The sequence below is a fragment of the Homo sapiens genome, chromosome 1 (assembly GCF_000001405.40).
Source record: "Homo sapiens chromosome 1, GRCh38.p14 Primary Assembly".
Classification (NCBI taxonomy): domain Eukaryota; kingdom Metazoa; phylum Chordata; class Mammalia; order Primates; family Hominidae; genus Homo; species Homo sapiens.
This window is the reverse complement of record NC_000001.11, coordinates 179,201,635-179,215,574: the sequence shown is the minus strand read 5'-3', so window position 1 is coordinate 179,215,574 and position 13,940 is coordinate 179,201,635. Positions and strand designations below refer to the sequence as shown.

At 39.2% G+C, this 13,940-nt stretch overlaps 1 protein-coding gene and 1 pseudogene across 9 annotated transcripts in view; one reads left to right on the top strand and one right to left on the bottom strand.

Moving 5' to 3' along the window:
• The window catches only part of ABL2 (ABL proto-oncogene 2, non-receptor tyrosine kinase), a 130,348-nt gene that overhangs the window by 14,103 nt on the left and 102,305 nt on the right, over positions 1-13,940 (top strand). Inside the window, exon 1 of one of the 9 annotated variants that reach the window (XM_017001035.2) lies at positions 3,567-8,447. The exons of the other annotated variants lie outside the window; for them this stretch is intronic. Within the exon in view, the coding sequence (XP_016856524.1) occupies positions 8,228-8,447 (220 nt within the window). The 5' untranslated portion in view covers positions 3,567-8,227. Of the gene's footprint in view, positions 1-3,566; positions 8,448-13,940 lie in introns of those variants that run through there. 9 annotated transcript variants of the gene reach the window in all.
• Positions 13,500-13,874, bottom strand: EIF4A1P11 (eukaryotic translation initiation factor 4A1 pseudogene 11; annotated as a pseudogene).

The following is a 13,940-nucleotide window of genomic DNA, read 5'->3' as shown; positions in this document are numbered from 1 at the left end:
TTGTATTTTTAGTAGAGAAAGGGTTGTTAGCCAGGCTGGTTTCGAACTCCAGGCCTCAAGTGATCCACCCACCTTTGCCTCCCAAAGTGCTGGGATTACAGGCGTGAGCCACAGTGCCTGGCCATGCATTTTTCAGTTGCATAAAAATATACAAAGGTATCTCAAGGTTAAAAAAATAATAATTCAGAAGCATATAGACTAGACATGAAAGTCCCCTTTGACATTCTTGGCCCAATACATATTCCCTTATTAGAAGAAACTACTGTTTGTGGTTCGATAGGTGTTTCCCACACCCAGCCATTTCAGAACTTGCTGTGTATTTACATATATATGAGTATATATATTAACACTTCTCTTGCCGTTTCATAAATGGCATTATACTGTATGAATTTTCTCCCCAATTTTTTTTTTTTTGGAGACTGAGTCTTATTCTGTTGCCTAGGCTGGAGTGCAGTGGTATGATCTCGGCTCATTGCAACCTCCACCTCCTGGGTTCAAGCGATTCTCCTGCCTCAGCCTCCCTAGTAGCTGGGACTACAGGCGCCCGCCACCACACCCGGCTAATTTTCGTATTTTTAGTAGAGAAGGAGTTTCACCATGTTAGCCAGTCTGGTCTCAAACTCCTGACCTCAGGCAATCTGTCTGCCTTGGCCTCTCCAAGTGCTGGGATTACAGGCATGGGCTACTGTGCCCGACCCACAATTTTTGTGTGTGTGTTTATTTATCTGGAAGGTCTTTCTATTCCAGTATTTGTAGATTTCTCATCCTTTTTGACAGCTTTATAGTGTCCCATGCTTTAGCCATATATTTAACCACTTTCTTATTGATGAATACTTGTTTATAAGAATATTTAAATATCTTCTCCATCTTTCCTGTGTTTTTTCTTTATGTTTGTAATTTGAATCCATCCGAAGGGTATATATATTTGAGCTTGGAACAAACAATGTTTTTCCATTGTATTAATTTGTGAATAGTCCATCAATTCTCCACTGATTTGAAAAGCCATATTTATCATATATTCTCATATATATATATATATATATATATATATATATGTCATTTTAAAACTGTTGTTCCATTGATCTTTGTCTCCTCCTGCACATTGTTAATATACTATTTTAATTATTGTAAGCTTATATAGTGTGTATGTGTATGTGGTTAGCTCCCCAATCATTATGTTGTTCTTAAAATTTTATTTAGATGTTGCATCTTATATCTTCCAAAGATCTTTAGGATTATGTTGTTAAGATTTAGGAGATTTTGATGGTCATATCAAATTATAGGTTAATTTGGGGGTGAATTGATGTTGCATTATTGTGTTTTTATGGCCAAGAACATGACATCCCTTTGCCAGTCCAGGCAGATCTTTTTTTGCCCCTCAGTAAAATCTTTTTCATTTTCTTAATCTTGTTTTTGGACATTACTTGGTAGGTTTATTAGTGGGCATTTTATGATTTTTGTTGTTAAGTATAATCTTTCCTAATTGCTTATTGCTAATGTATAGGAAGCCTTGATTTTGTATGTCCATCTTGAGTCTAGGTTTGGTTGCCTTACTTGTATTGCATCTAATAACTTTGTACTGATATTTTTATTTTATTAAAACTGATATTTCTAGATAATTTTTTTCTTTTAAGAGATAGGGTCTTACTCTGTCACCCAGGTTGGAGTGCAGTAGTAGCATGATCATAGCTCACTGCAGCCTCCTGGGCTCAAACAATCCTCCTGCCTATAGCATCCCAATGTACTGGGATTACAGGTGTGAGCCACCACGCCTGGACTCTTTTAGTTATTTTTACCACAGTAATACATGCAGGCAGTTTTAGAAGTCAAAGAATATGACAAGATTTAAAATGGAAAAAAAATTAGCAGCACCCATCCATTTCCTCCCTATATTGGTACTGTTGAGGATGGCAGCTAGTAGCCACTGTGGCTCTTGAGCACTTGAAATGTCCTTTGTCCTAACTGAGAAGTATTGGCCAGGAGTGGTGGCTCACACCTGTAATCCTAGCAGTTTGGAAGGCTGAGGTGGGAGGATCACCTGAGCCCAGGAGTTTGAGACCAGCCTGGGCAATATAGTGAGACCCTTTCTGTATTTAAAAATAAATAGGCTGGGCACGGTGGCTCATGCCTGTAATCCCATCTCTCAGGGAGGCAGAGGCGGGAGGATAGCTTGAGCCCAGGAGTTTGAGACCTGCCTTGGGCAACATAGCAAGACTCTGTTCTCCACGAAAAGGAAGAAAAAAAAAGACAAAAATAAAAATAAGCGTAAAAATAAATAAATAAATACAAATAAGCTAATTGAGAAGTACTGTAATAAAATACACATTATGTTTCAAAACTCAGTATGGAAAAAATGAATATAAAGTACTGCATTAATTTTTTTATATTGATTACATGTTTTAAATAATATTTTAGATAGACATATATATAAAAATTAATTTTTTGAATTTAAATTTTTGATGTAGTTACTAGAAAAAGTAAAATGGCATTTGTAGCTTGCATTATATTTCTTTTTTTTTTTTTTTTTTGAGACGGAGTTTCACCCCTGTTGCTCAGGCTGGATTGCAATGGTGTGATCTTGGCTCACTGCAACCTCCGCCTCCCAGGTTCAAGCGATTCTCCTGCCTCAGCCTCCCAAGTAGCTGAGATTACAGGCTTGTGCCACCACGCCTGGCTAATTTTGTATTTTTAGTAGAGACAGGGTTTCTCCATGTTGGTCAGGCTGGTCTTGAGCTCCAGATCTCAGGTGATCCTCTTGCCTCGGCCTCCCAAAGTGCTGGGATTATAGGCATGAGCCACCACGCCCAGCCAGCTTGCATTGTATTTCTTTCTTTTTTTTTTGAGACGGAGTTTTGCCCTTGTTGCTCAGGCTGGAGTGCAATGGCACGATCTTGGCTCACCACAACCTCCGCCTCCCGAGTTCAAGCAATTCTCCTGCCTCAGCCTCCCGCGTAGCTGGGATTACAGGCATTTGCCACCATGCCTGGCTAATTTTGTTATTTGTAGTAGAGACAGGGTTTCTCCATGTTGGTCAGGCTGGTCTCGAACTCCCGACCTCAGGTGATCCACCTGCCTTGGCCTCCCAAAGTGCTGTGATTACAGGTGTGAGCCACCATGCCCTGCCCAGCTTGCATTATATTTCTAATGGACATTGCTGCTTTAGATGGTAAGACCTGTGAGAACAGGAACTTGGTCTTGTTCACCCTTGTAGTCCCTGTACCTTTAATGGTGCCAGGCACTCAGTAGTATTTAAATGATTGATATATTCAGCAAGTAGGATGATGTGGTTTGGCTCTGTGTCCCCACCCAAATCTCACCTTGAATTGTAATAATCCCCACGTGTCAAGGGTAGAACCAGGTGGAGATGATTGAATCATGGAGGCAGTTTCTCCCATGCTGTTCTCCTGATGGTAAGTTCTCACCATGTCTGATAGTTTTATAAGGGGCTTTCCCCTTCACTTGGCTGTTCTCTCTCCTGCTGCCCTGTGAAGAGGTGCCTTCCACCATGATTTCAAGTTTCCTGAGGCCTCCCCAGACATGTAGAACTGGGAGTCAGTTAAACCTCTTTCCTTTATAAATTATGCAGTCTCTGGTATTTCTTCACAGTAGCGTGAGAATGGACAAATACATAAGGAGAGAGTATTTTCCTCATTGTACACTCAGAGATATTGTACCTGGCATGTTACAGTGCAGATTTTATTCCACGGAGGTGCTTTGAACTAATCTGAGTTTTCTTTGCAGTTATTGATTGGTAAACAGTTATTTAAATTTTTTTTTTTTTTTCGAGAAGGATTCTTGCTCTGTCACCCAGGCTGTGGTGTGATCTTGGCTCACTGCAACCTCCATCACCCGGGTTCGCAGTGTTGAACAGGCTGGTCTCGAACTCCTGACCTCAAGTGATCCACTTGCCTCGGCCTTCCAAAATGCTAGGATTACAGGCATGAGCCACAATGCCTGGCCTAAATTTGGTTTTATTCTCCTGTATATGTTTTTCCTTTGATTACTGTATTTTTAGTTTAATTGCACTTATAAAAATTTTATTTTTATTTTTATTTTTTGAGACGGGATCTCACTGTGTTGCTCAGGCTGAAGTGCGGTGGTACAGGCTCACTGCAGCCTTGACCTCCTAGGCTCAAGTGATTCTCCCACCTCAGCCCCCTGAATAGCTGGGACTATAGGCACATACCACCCCACCTGGTTAAATTAAAAAAAAAATTTTTTTAGGGATTACATCTCTTTTGTTGCCCAGGCAGATTTCAGACTCCTGGGCTCAAAGCAATTCTCCCGCCTCAGCCTCCCAAAGTGCTGGGATAACAGATGTGAGCCAGCAGGTCCAGCCTAATTGCACTTTTAAGTCTTAGACTGAAAACTTTATGAAATCCTATCTTCATCACTATATGTCTTGTTTTCTGTTTTATTTTGTTCTTTCATTGACCCTGATATTTGGAAAAATTCTAATGCTTTTATAAGTTCTTTGATCTAATTGTTTCAAGTCTTCTGTTTCCTGAAATTATTAACTATCTTTAAAGAGAAAAGTCATCTTGGCTATATGCTGTGGTTGTCAAGGTGGCGTCAGCTCTGAGCAAATATTTTTCCAAGCTTGCAAGCTTGAGTATTCTCAAGTCTGAGGTCATGCTCATCTATTTATATTTAAATATTTATTCTTTCTTCCTGGCAGTATATGAAATATTTTTATTTTTATTTATTATTATTATTTTTTTGAGACAGAGTCTTGCTGTGTCGCCCAGGCTGGAGTGCAGTGGTGCAATCTCGGCTTACTGCAACCTCCACCTCTCAAGTTCAAGCAATTCTCCTGCCTCAGCCTCCCGAGTAGCTGGGACTACAGGCGCCCGCCACTAAGCCCAGCTCATTTTTTTTGTATTTTGTTGTAGAGGTGAGGTTTCACTGTGTTAGCCAGGATGGTCTCGATCTCTGACCTCGTGATGCGCCCACCTCGGCCTCAAAGTGCTGGGATTATAGGCGTGAGCCACCACGCCTGGCGAAATATTTTTATTTTTATCCTTTAAAAATTTTTCTCTTAAAGCTTTTTTTTTTCTTTTTTTTTTTTTTTGTGAGTTAGAGTCTTGCTCTATCACTGTTGGAGTGCAAGTGGCATGATCTCAGTTCACTGCAACGTCCACCTCCCATGTTCAGGCGATTCTCGCCTCAGCCTATCATGTAGCTAGGATTACAGGTGTGCACCACCACGCCCAGCTAATTTTTGTATTTTTGGTAGAGGTGGGGTTTCACTGTGTTAGCCAGGATGGTCTCAAATTCCTTACCTCAGGTGATCCGCCCACTTCAGCCTCTCAAAGTGCTGGGATTATAGGCATGAGCCACCGCACCTGGCCGGTGTTGTTTTTTAAAATCATTTTTTTTCTCATTTAAAGTATTTGCTTTTAACATATTTCTGTCCTGGTACAGTGGCTCATGCCTGTAGTCATAGCACTTGAGGAGGCTGAGGGGGAAGATTGCTTGAGGCAGGAGTTTGAGACCACCCTGGGCAAAATAGCAAGACCCCTGTCTTTAAAAATAAAATTAAAAGTTAGCTGTGTGCCTGTAGTCCTAGCTACTAGGGAGGCTGAGTTGGGAGGATTGCTTGAGCCCAAGAGTGTGAGGTTACAGTGAGGTGTGATTGTGCCACTGCACTCCAGTCTGGGTGCAGAGTGAGACCCTGTCTCTAAAAACAAAAATAAACATGTTTCTTATTACTTGAAATGTTTGGCTGCAGTTTAAGAGCTGGCCATTTTGGGTCATTTCTCTGAATCTCTGAATTTCTCTGAATCTCCTGCTGGTTTGTTTTTCTTTTTCCTGAGAGTGAGTATTTGTATGAGGGTGTTGGTTGTTTTTAAGATAAAATTTTTGATTTTGGTAGCTAGAGAGACATAGGTATAAAAATTTAGAACTGGAAGAGACTGTAGAAGTCATATATTCTAATATATTTGAATTACAGATGGGTAAATGATACTTGGGTAGTTGAAACAAGTTGATTATGGACCCATAGCTTAGCAGTAGATGTATGGGGAGAAAAAGTAGTTATTTTTTCCTCATCCATTGCTAGGTTCATGGCTGAGACCACTACAGCAAAGGGCAGATTAGTGAGAAGAACATACAAATTTATTTAAGTTTTATGTGACATGGAGCCTTCAGAAATGAAGACCCAAATCAACAGGGAAACTTATGTAATTTTATGGGTTAGGTTTGATGGAGAGTGGACAGCGTGTAGAAGTCTGATGGACAGAGGGAGAATGATCTAATGATAATAACCTGGGGGGAACTTAGCAAGGCTTGTTTGGTCATAGTCTTCTCAATGTCCCTGTGTCTTCAGAGATAAGGACATTCCTTTCCTCTGAGTAAAGGGAGGGTACCTCTGGAATGAGGGTCTTATAACCTACTTCAGAGAAGAAGATGAGATAATTCTTCTATGGTCTGCTTCAGAGGAGAAGGGCTGGAGAAGGTCAGAGAGACCTCTTTGCTTCTGCTGTTTCCTCAAATGCCAAGGTGCTGTATTTTGGACTAGTGTGCCCTGAACCCAGTCTTAGAGCACAGAAAGACTAGAATCTAACCCATTTTTCTAGATTTAGTTTCTAGTTATTTTTTGTTAGTGCCTATTTTTTGCTTTTGGTAGTATTATTACATCATTGAGCATTTATGTGCCAACATTTCTGTAAACTTTATCTCATTTAATTCTTAGCTGATAAATGATGAAAACAGTTTTCAGAACAAGGCATATAACTCCAAAAATTACACTCTTAACTGTTGTGCTTTAGTGGTAGAATGGTTTAGGGATTGGGTGCTTGTGTGTCAGACACATTATCCTACTACTTCATTTAATCCTCAGAACTGCTCTAAGAGCTGAACATACTCTCTGGCTTTACAGACAAGGACATTTGGCTAAGAGAGATTGTCTTCTGCCTTCAGACCACACAGCTAGTAGGTTGCAGAGCTTGATTGTAAGTTTTGTTGTTTCCCAATTCTCTGCTACATCTGAGGGGAGATATCCCTCATTGATATTCCGGTCTTCCCAAAGCCTTCATGATAATATGATAAGAGAAAAAAGCAAATGTATACATGCAGCCATAAAAAAGAACAAAATCATGTCCTTTGCAGCAACATGGATGCAGCTGAAGGCCATTATCCTAAGTGAATTAATGCAGGAACAGAAAACCAAATACCCTGTGTTCTCACTTATAAGTGGGAGCTGAGCATTGAGTACAAATGGACATAAAGGTGGGAATAATAGACACTGGGAACTATTAGAGGGGAAGGAATGGGGGGGGCAAGGGTTGAAAAACCTGTTGGGCACCGTGCTTACTACCTGAGTGACAGGATTATTCGTACCCCAAACCTTAGTGACACACAATTTACCCATGTGACAAATCTGCACATGTACCCCCTGAACTTAAAAGTTGAAAAAATATATATATAACATATACAATTCACTTTATTAAAGGTTAATAAATATAACTGATTTATTTTTAGGCTAGTCTTCGTGTACTATTTTTGTGCCTTTCTCAGATATTTTGTGGACTTGAGTCTGAAGTAAATATTTATAAAGGGAAAGTAGATAACTGCTATTACCAGGAAAATACTTATTCAAAAAAAAAGGATATTTAAGAGATAATTAGAATGACTTTACTGACCTTGTTTTCTTACACTAATAATTCATGAAGCATTTAGATTTTCTGATTGAGTGTTTTCTGTGACAATATCAGTCAGAGATGTAATCATTTATAAACATGCTGTTAATGGCATGGACTCTGGTGTCAGTCTGTGTGGGTTTAGATCCTCTGTTAAATTTCTGATTTTGGTAGCTTGACATAGGTATAAAAAAATTTACAACCTGAAGAGACCTTAGAAATAATGTATTCCTGGGCAAGTTATTCATTCGCTATGTGTCCCTTTTCTCACCAGTAAAATAGGTATGCTAATAATACCTACCTCATAGAGTTATGAGAATTAAGGAATTATTACATGTAAAATTCTCAGCTAGTGCATGATTAATGGTAAGTACTCAAAAAGTTATAGCTGTTATTGTTTTTTAAACATTATTTTTTAACATTTTTATTGGTTGAAATAGGTTTCAGACAATTGTAAATAAATTTTAAAAAATTAAAAAATGTTAAGGCTGAGAGAATTTTGAGACCTTAATACAAGGTAGTATATTGTATCAGGCTTGTTCTGTGCCTAGGCTTAATTACCAGATTTCTGTGCTTCTGGACTTATAATGTATAGTTGTCGTTTTAATGCTAACATTCTGATTGGATACGTCCAGCACTTCACTTGGGTAAATCACAATCTTTCTTTCCTCCCTCACAAAGGACACTTTGAAATGATCCTAAAATACCTTCTTATTCAGATAGATAGAACAGCTAGTGGTAGAGGCCCTAACAAAAAAAAAAAAAAGAAAGAAAAGAATGGAGAATCAGAGGAGCTGACTTCAGAAGGTAATGGAAGGGACTGTTGTTATGTGGGCATACTGGGGATCACGACACTCCATGGACAGGCATCACTGTACAGCTGTGCCTGTTGGAAACTGGAGCTGGCAAGCTATTAGAAATTAAGACTGCATATTCTGTCTCTCTCTTTCAGGAACTGCAAGGTTTGGCATCTCTTTTTCGCTCTGTACATCTGTTCAGTTTTCCTTTCTTCCAGCTGGCTTTCTCAGTTTCAGCTTGTATGTGGAGTGTAATGGCTGCTCAGCTCCTTTATCAAGAGAATTCTCAATCTATCCTTTCGGCATTTATCCCTGCTGCTAAATGGCTGAGTTTTTTAAAAAAATTTAAATCATTTGTTTGTTTATTGAAGGGTCAGTACATTTATGTGGTTCAAAATTCAAGAGATACAGTTTGAAGTCTTCCTGCCACTCCTTTTCTTCAGCCACCCAAATTTTGGCAATCCAAATCACCAGTTCGTTGTATATACTTTCAGAGATATATTATGCATGTGTACCTGTATCCGTGTATATTCTCCCCATTCTTTTTTTTTCCCCCTAGATGGATGCTATTATATAGCTTATGTTGGACATTCTTTCATGTCAGTAAATAAAGAACTTGCTTTTTTTTTTTTTTTTAAATGGATGCATAGCATTTCATTGTGTGGATGAATTATATAATTACTTTGTTTTCAGTTTTTTGCTGTTGTAAACAGTGTCCTAGTACAAACCCTAATATGTGTCATTTTAGACATGTGCTAGTATGGCTATAGAATAAATGCCTTGAATTTGGAATTGCTTATAGAAAGGGGGTGGGGATTTCAGAATAACCATGTGTTGAATAAGCTTTTATCCACCTTTTTGTATGCTAAATCCTGTGTGCATTTGATTCTATTTCTGCACTTTATGTTCTCTTAATTTGCCTGTCAAATAATGTGCCAATATCACAGTTTTAATTATTGTACTTTTATAATGTACATGTATACATTATAATGTATAATGGTAGTTAAGGGTATAGACTTGAACTAAGCTGCCTAGCTTTGAGTCTTGTCTTTATCACTTTCTTAGCTGTGTGACCTTGGGCATGTTATTCAACATCCCTGTAATTCAATGTCCTTATTTGTAAAATAGAGATGATAATGATACCTATCTAATAGAGGGCTGATGCAAGGATTAAATTAGTTAAGCTATATAAAGTGCTTAGAAAAGTACTTAGCCTGTAGTTGGTGTTGTATAAGTATTAGGTCTTTATTTTTTTGCTGTTATTGGCAGGGCTAGTTCCTCTTCATTGTTATTTTTTCAGAATATTCCTGGCTGTTCTTGTTTGCTTACATTTTATTTTAACTTTAGAATCAGTTGGTCTGTCTAATCAGGATAGACTAGGTAATAAGTTAGTATCCACAACAACAATCCCCCTTACCCGCCCTCCCTAATCTCAGTGGATTAACACATCCAAAGTTTGTCACTTGTAATACATGTCCCATATGGATCAGGAGGTGGGTCTTACCCCCTCAGACCCCCCAAAGGAGGTGGGAGGTGGGCTATACCCATTTTTTATCACCCAGAGACCCAGGCTGACAGAGTCTTCAACCATCGTTCTAGAAAGCTGGCAGTTAGCATTGCAGAGAGAAACAGAGTAATGAGTCAAGTACTAGTGGAAACTAAAAGCCAGAAGGGATATATGTCACTTCCTTTTATATCTCACTGGCCAAAGCAAGTCATGTGGTCTCATGTAATGCCGGGGGGCATGGAGAAAGTGTAGTTTTGTTATGTGCCTGGGAGGGCAGCTGGAAATATTTGATGAAGAGTTGTAATGGGCCGGGCGCAGTGGCTTATGCCTGTAATCCCAGCACTTTGGGAGGTTGAGGTGGGCAGATCACGAGGTCAAAAGTTTGAGACCAGCCTGACCAACATGGTGAAACCCCGTCTCTACTAAAAATACAAAAATTAGCTGGGTGTGGTGGCACACACTTGTAATCCCAGCTACTCAGGAGGCTGAGGCAGGAGAATCTCTTGAACCCAGGAGGCACAGGTTGCAGTGAGCCAAGATCACGCCACTGCACTCCAGCCTGGGCGACAGAGTGAGACTCAGTCTCAAAAAAAAAAAAAAAGAAAAAGAGTTGTAATGACTTTGCTCTGCTGGTTGCTAAATATTTGGGTCACCCATTATGTTACATGCAGCACTCTGAGCCCCTTCGTTGGAGACACTACTCATGTTTCTATCTAGTAACTACATTTATCTGAAACTCTAGAATAACCGATGTACAGAGTCTATTAATCAGATTCAGAGGAGGTTTCTCTTGGTCTAGACAACTGTGAATGAAACAAATAAGTTATCAGTTGGTCTAAAACAATCATCTTAGTTTTTTTGTGTGTGTGTTTGTTTTGCTTTTTGAGACAGGGTCTTGCTCTGTCACCCAGGCTGGAGTGCAGTGGCGTGATCTTGGTTCACTGTACTCTCTGCCTCTCAGGTTCAAGCGATTCTCATGCCTCAGCCTCCCGAGTAGCTGGGATTACAGGCATGCGCCACCACCTCTGGTTAATTTTTGTATTTTTTAGTAGAGAGGGGGTTTTGCCATGTTGGCCAGGCTGTTCTTGAACTCCTGGCCTCAAGTGATCTGCCCGCCTCGGCCTCCCAAAGTGCTAGGATTACAGGTGTGAGCCACCAGACCCAGCTCATCTTAGTATTTTTGTAGGTTCCTTGCTGGGTGGGAGTAGAGATGCGGAGGGAACTTTCACTTTTAACTCTGCATATGTCTGTGTTATTTGAATATTTTTTTGCAGTGAGCAGATAGCATGTAAAAGGAAATATTTTGCCGGAGGTGGTGGCTTATGCCTATAATCCCAGCACTTTGGGAGGCAGAGGCGGGTGGATCACCTGAGGTCAGGAGTTCGAGATCAGCCTGGCCAACATGGCAAAACCCTATTTCTACTAAAAATACAAAAATTAGCTGGGCGTGATGGCGCCCACCTGTAATCCCAGCTACTCGAGAGGCTGAGGTAGGGGAATTGCTTGAACCTGGGAGGTGGAGGTTGCAGTGAGCTGAGATCAGGCCACTGTACTCCAGCCTGGGCGACAGAGCGAGAGACTCCATCTCTAAATAAATAAATAAATAAATAAATGGAAATATTTTAAAAGCCTAAAACTTTTAATCCTCACATCAGCTCTTTCTATTAGATAGGTATCATTATCATCTCCGTTTTACAAATAAGGACATTGAATTACTGGGATGTTAAATAACGTGCGCAAGGCCACACAGCCAAGGAAGTAGTAAAGAGAAGGGTCAAAGAGCCAGGCAGTTTAGCTCAAGTGTACTGCCTTAACCACCAGGCTATGCTGCCTGTTATAAAAATGCAGTATTTAAAACAGCGTGATACTGGCACGTAATTTGACAAAAGAATTCTCTTATCCCAATTTCATACTAAATGAAATAATGTATAGCATGTGGGGCCAGAGCTGGAACATGAGACCTGAGACCTAACTGTAAGCTATTGCCTACCAAGATGCCTTTCTTAATGCATGGGCTTCTTTGCATAGCTTGTTACAATAATACAAATAGAGGTTATTTTTTTTTTCTTATTTGCAGTGAACATAGCAACAAAAAAAAAAGACTGTTTACTTTGAGAAGAATGATCTTTGGGATAATAATACTTGAAAATGAGGGATGATCCAGGAAAGTTACCTGGAGAGGATGACCTCAGTGAGAGGGCAGTCTGTACTGATAGGGAGGGTGATGGTGCATACTAACTGGTTTCCAATTTGAAGATCTTTTCTGGAGTACTTAGTTGTATTTTATTTATTTTGATCACTGAGTTTTAAGGAAACAGCTTACAAAGGCAACAGAAGAGAGGAAAACCTTCATTCTTTGTGCAAGTATAAAATGTTTATTAAAACACAGAGATTTTGTTTTGACGTTAGGAAATAGAAAAAATATAAGCCATTTATATACTACATTCTTCCTTTACTTCTCTGATGGGAAATGAAAAAAATGATTTGTTCTTTTTACAAATGCAGTATGTTTTATTACGGGAAAAAATCAAGCAAAAACTAAAAACAAACCCCATACCCACTTTCCTACTGGGAGACAACAATCTAATAAAAGTTCTGGGGTGTATCCTTTTAAGCCTCTTTGATGTGTGTATCATTTTGTATTGCTAACCAAAACATATACAAAGCAATTTTTTGTTGTCATTTTTCACTCATGTATTTTGAACCTTCTAAACTGGAGATCTTAAATTGAAGGAGAAAGGGTTTTTGGTGGTTGGTTTTTGTTTTTACCTCTTTTTAGAACTTACTTCACATTTATTTCTTTTCACACTATTTAACATCCAGTACTTTTGTCTTACAATTTTTATTGTTATTTGTTTCTTCTGTTAGATTCAGTTCCTTGAAGGCGTCTGTATTCTTCATTCTGTTGAGCTCATATTAAGTTTACATGAGGACAGGACATATGTTAACAGAAGTGATTGTAGGGGAAAAAGGCAGAAGACATTTCAGCAGTTATTTCAGGGTACAGATCAATCACTGATTCACTTACAGTCCAGTGTTACTTAATTTGCTGGTGTAACCAAAAACTAAGGAAGTACACATTTGTATACAGGTATTTAGGCTCCTTTCCTATTTTTTAAGCTGAGGTAAAATATTCTTGTGATGTTAATTTTTTTATGTGACCTGTTGAACAGAACATACTCAGTCTAAGATACTGTTAACTATTGAAAACAAAAATGTGTAGGAGGACAGCAAGGCTAATTCCTTTTAAAATGTCATGAGTTAATTTCTTTTAAGAAGAGGGAAGCGTGGGTTTCCTGACTAGTTTTTAGGTGGTGATTTTTAAAAGAATAGCACTTCCATATTGTTAGCAGCTAATCTGGAAATTTGCATATTAATTGGTAATAAGCAGAAATAAGAGCCAAGATTTTCTTTTCTTTGCTGAAAAAGTATTAATAGTTACCAATTCTGTTACAGTATAGAAGACCAATAATGATATATATGTTAAATTGCATCAAATGATATTTATCCCAGTGTGCTGAGATTATTTTTTTTTTTTACTATCTTTAAATCTTTTTTTTTCTTTTGCCTCAAAAAGTGACATTTATTCAAAGAAAAAAAAATGACAAGATGTCCATCCCTTGGCTCCCTTCCCTCTCCTCTCCTGCTGTTCCTCGGACCCCTGAGATTGAGCCCTGGCTGGGGTTGGGTGGCAGGACAGCCCCTCAGATGAGGTCGGCAACATTGAGGGGCATTTCCTCAATGGAGGTGTTGTAGAGGGTCTTGATGTCTCAAAGAGTCCTTTTGTCTTCTTCTGTCACCATGTTAATAGCCACACCTTTATGGCCAAACTGTCCACCTCAACCGATTCTGTGGATATAATTTTCCCTATTGGTGGGAAGGTCATAGTTGATGACTAAAGAAACTTGCTGCATATCAATGCCTCTGACCTACGTCAAGAAAGACAACTCTTCAGCATGTGCACAAGAGGACACGCTATCCCGAAAGGAAGACTCT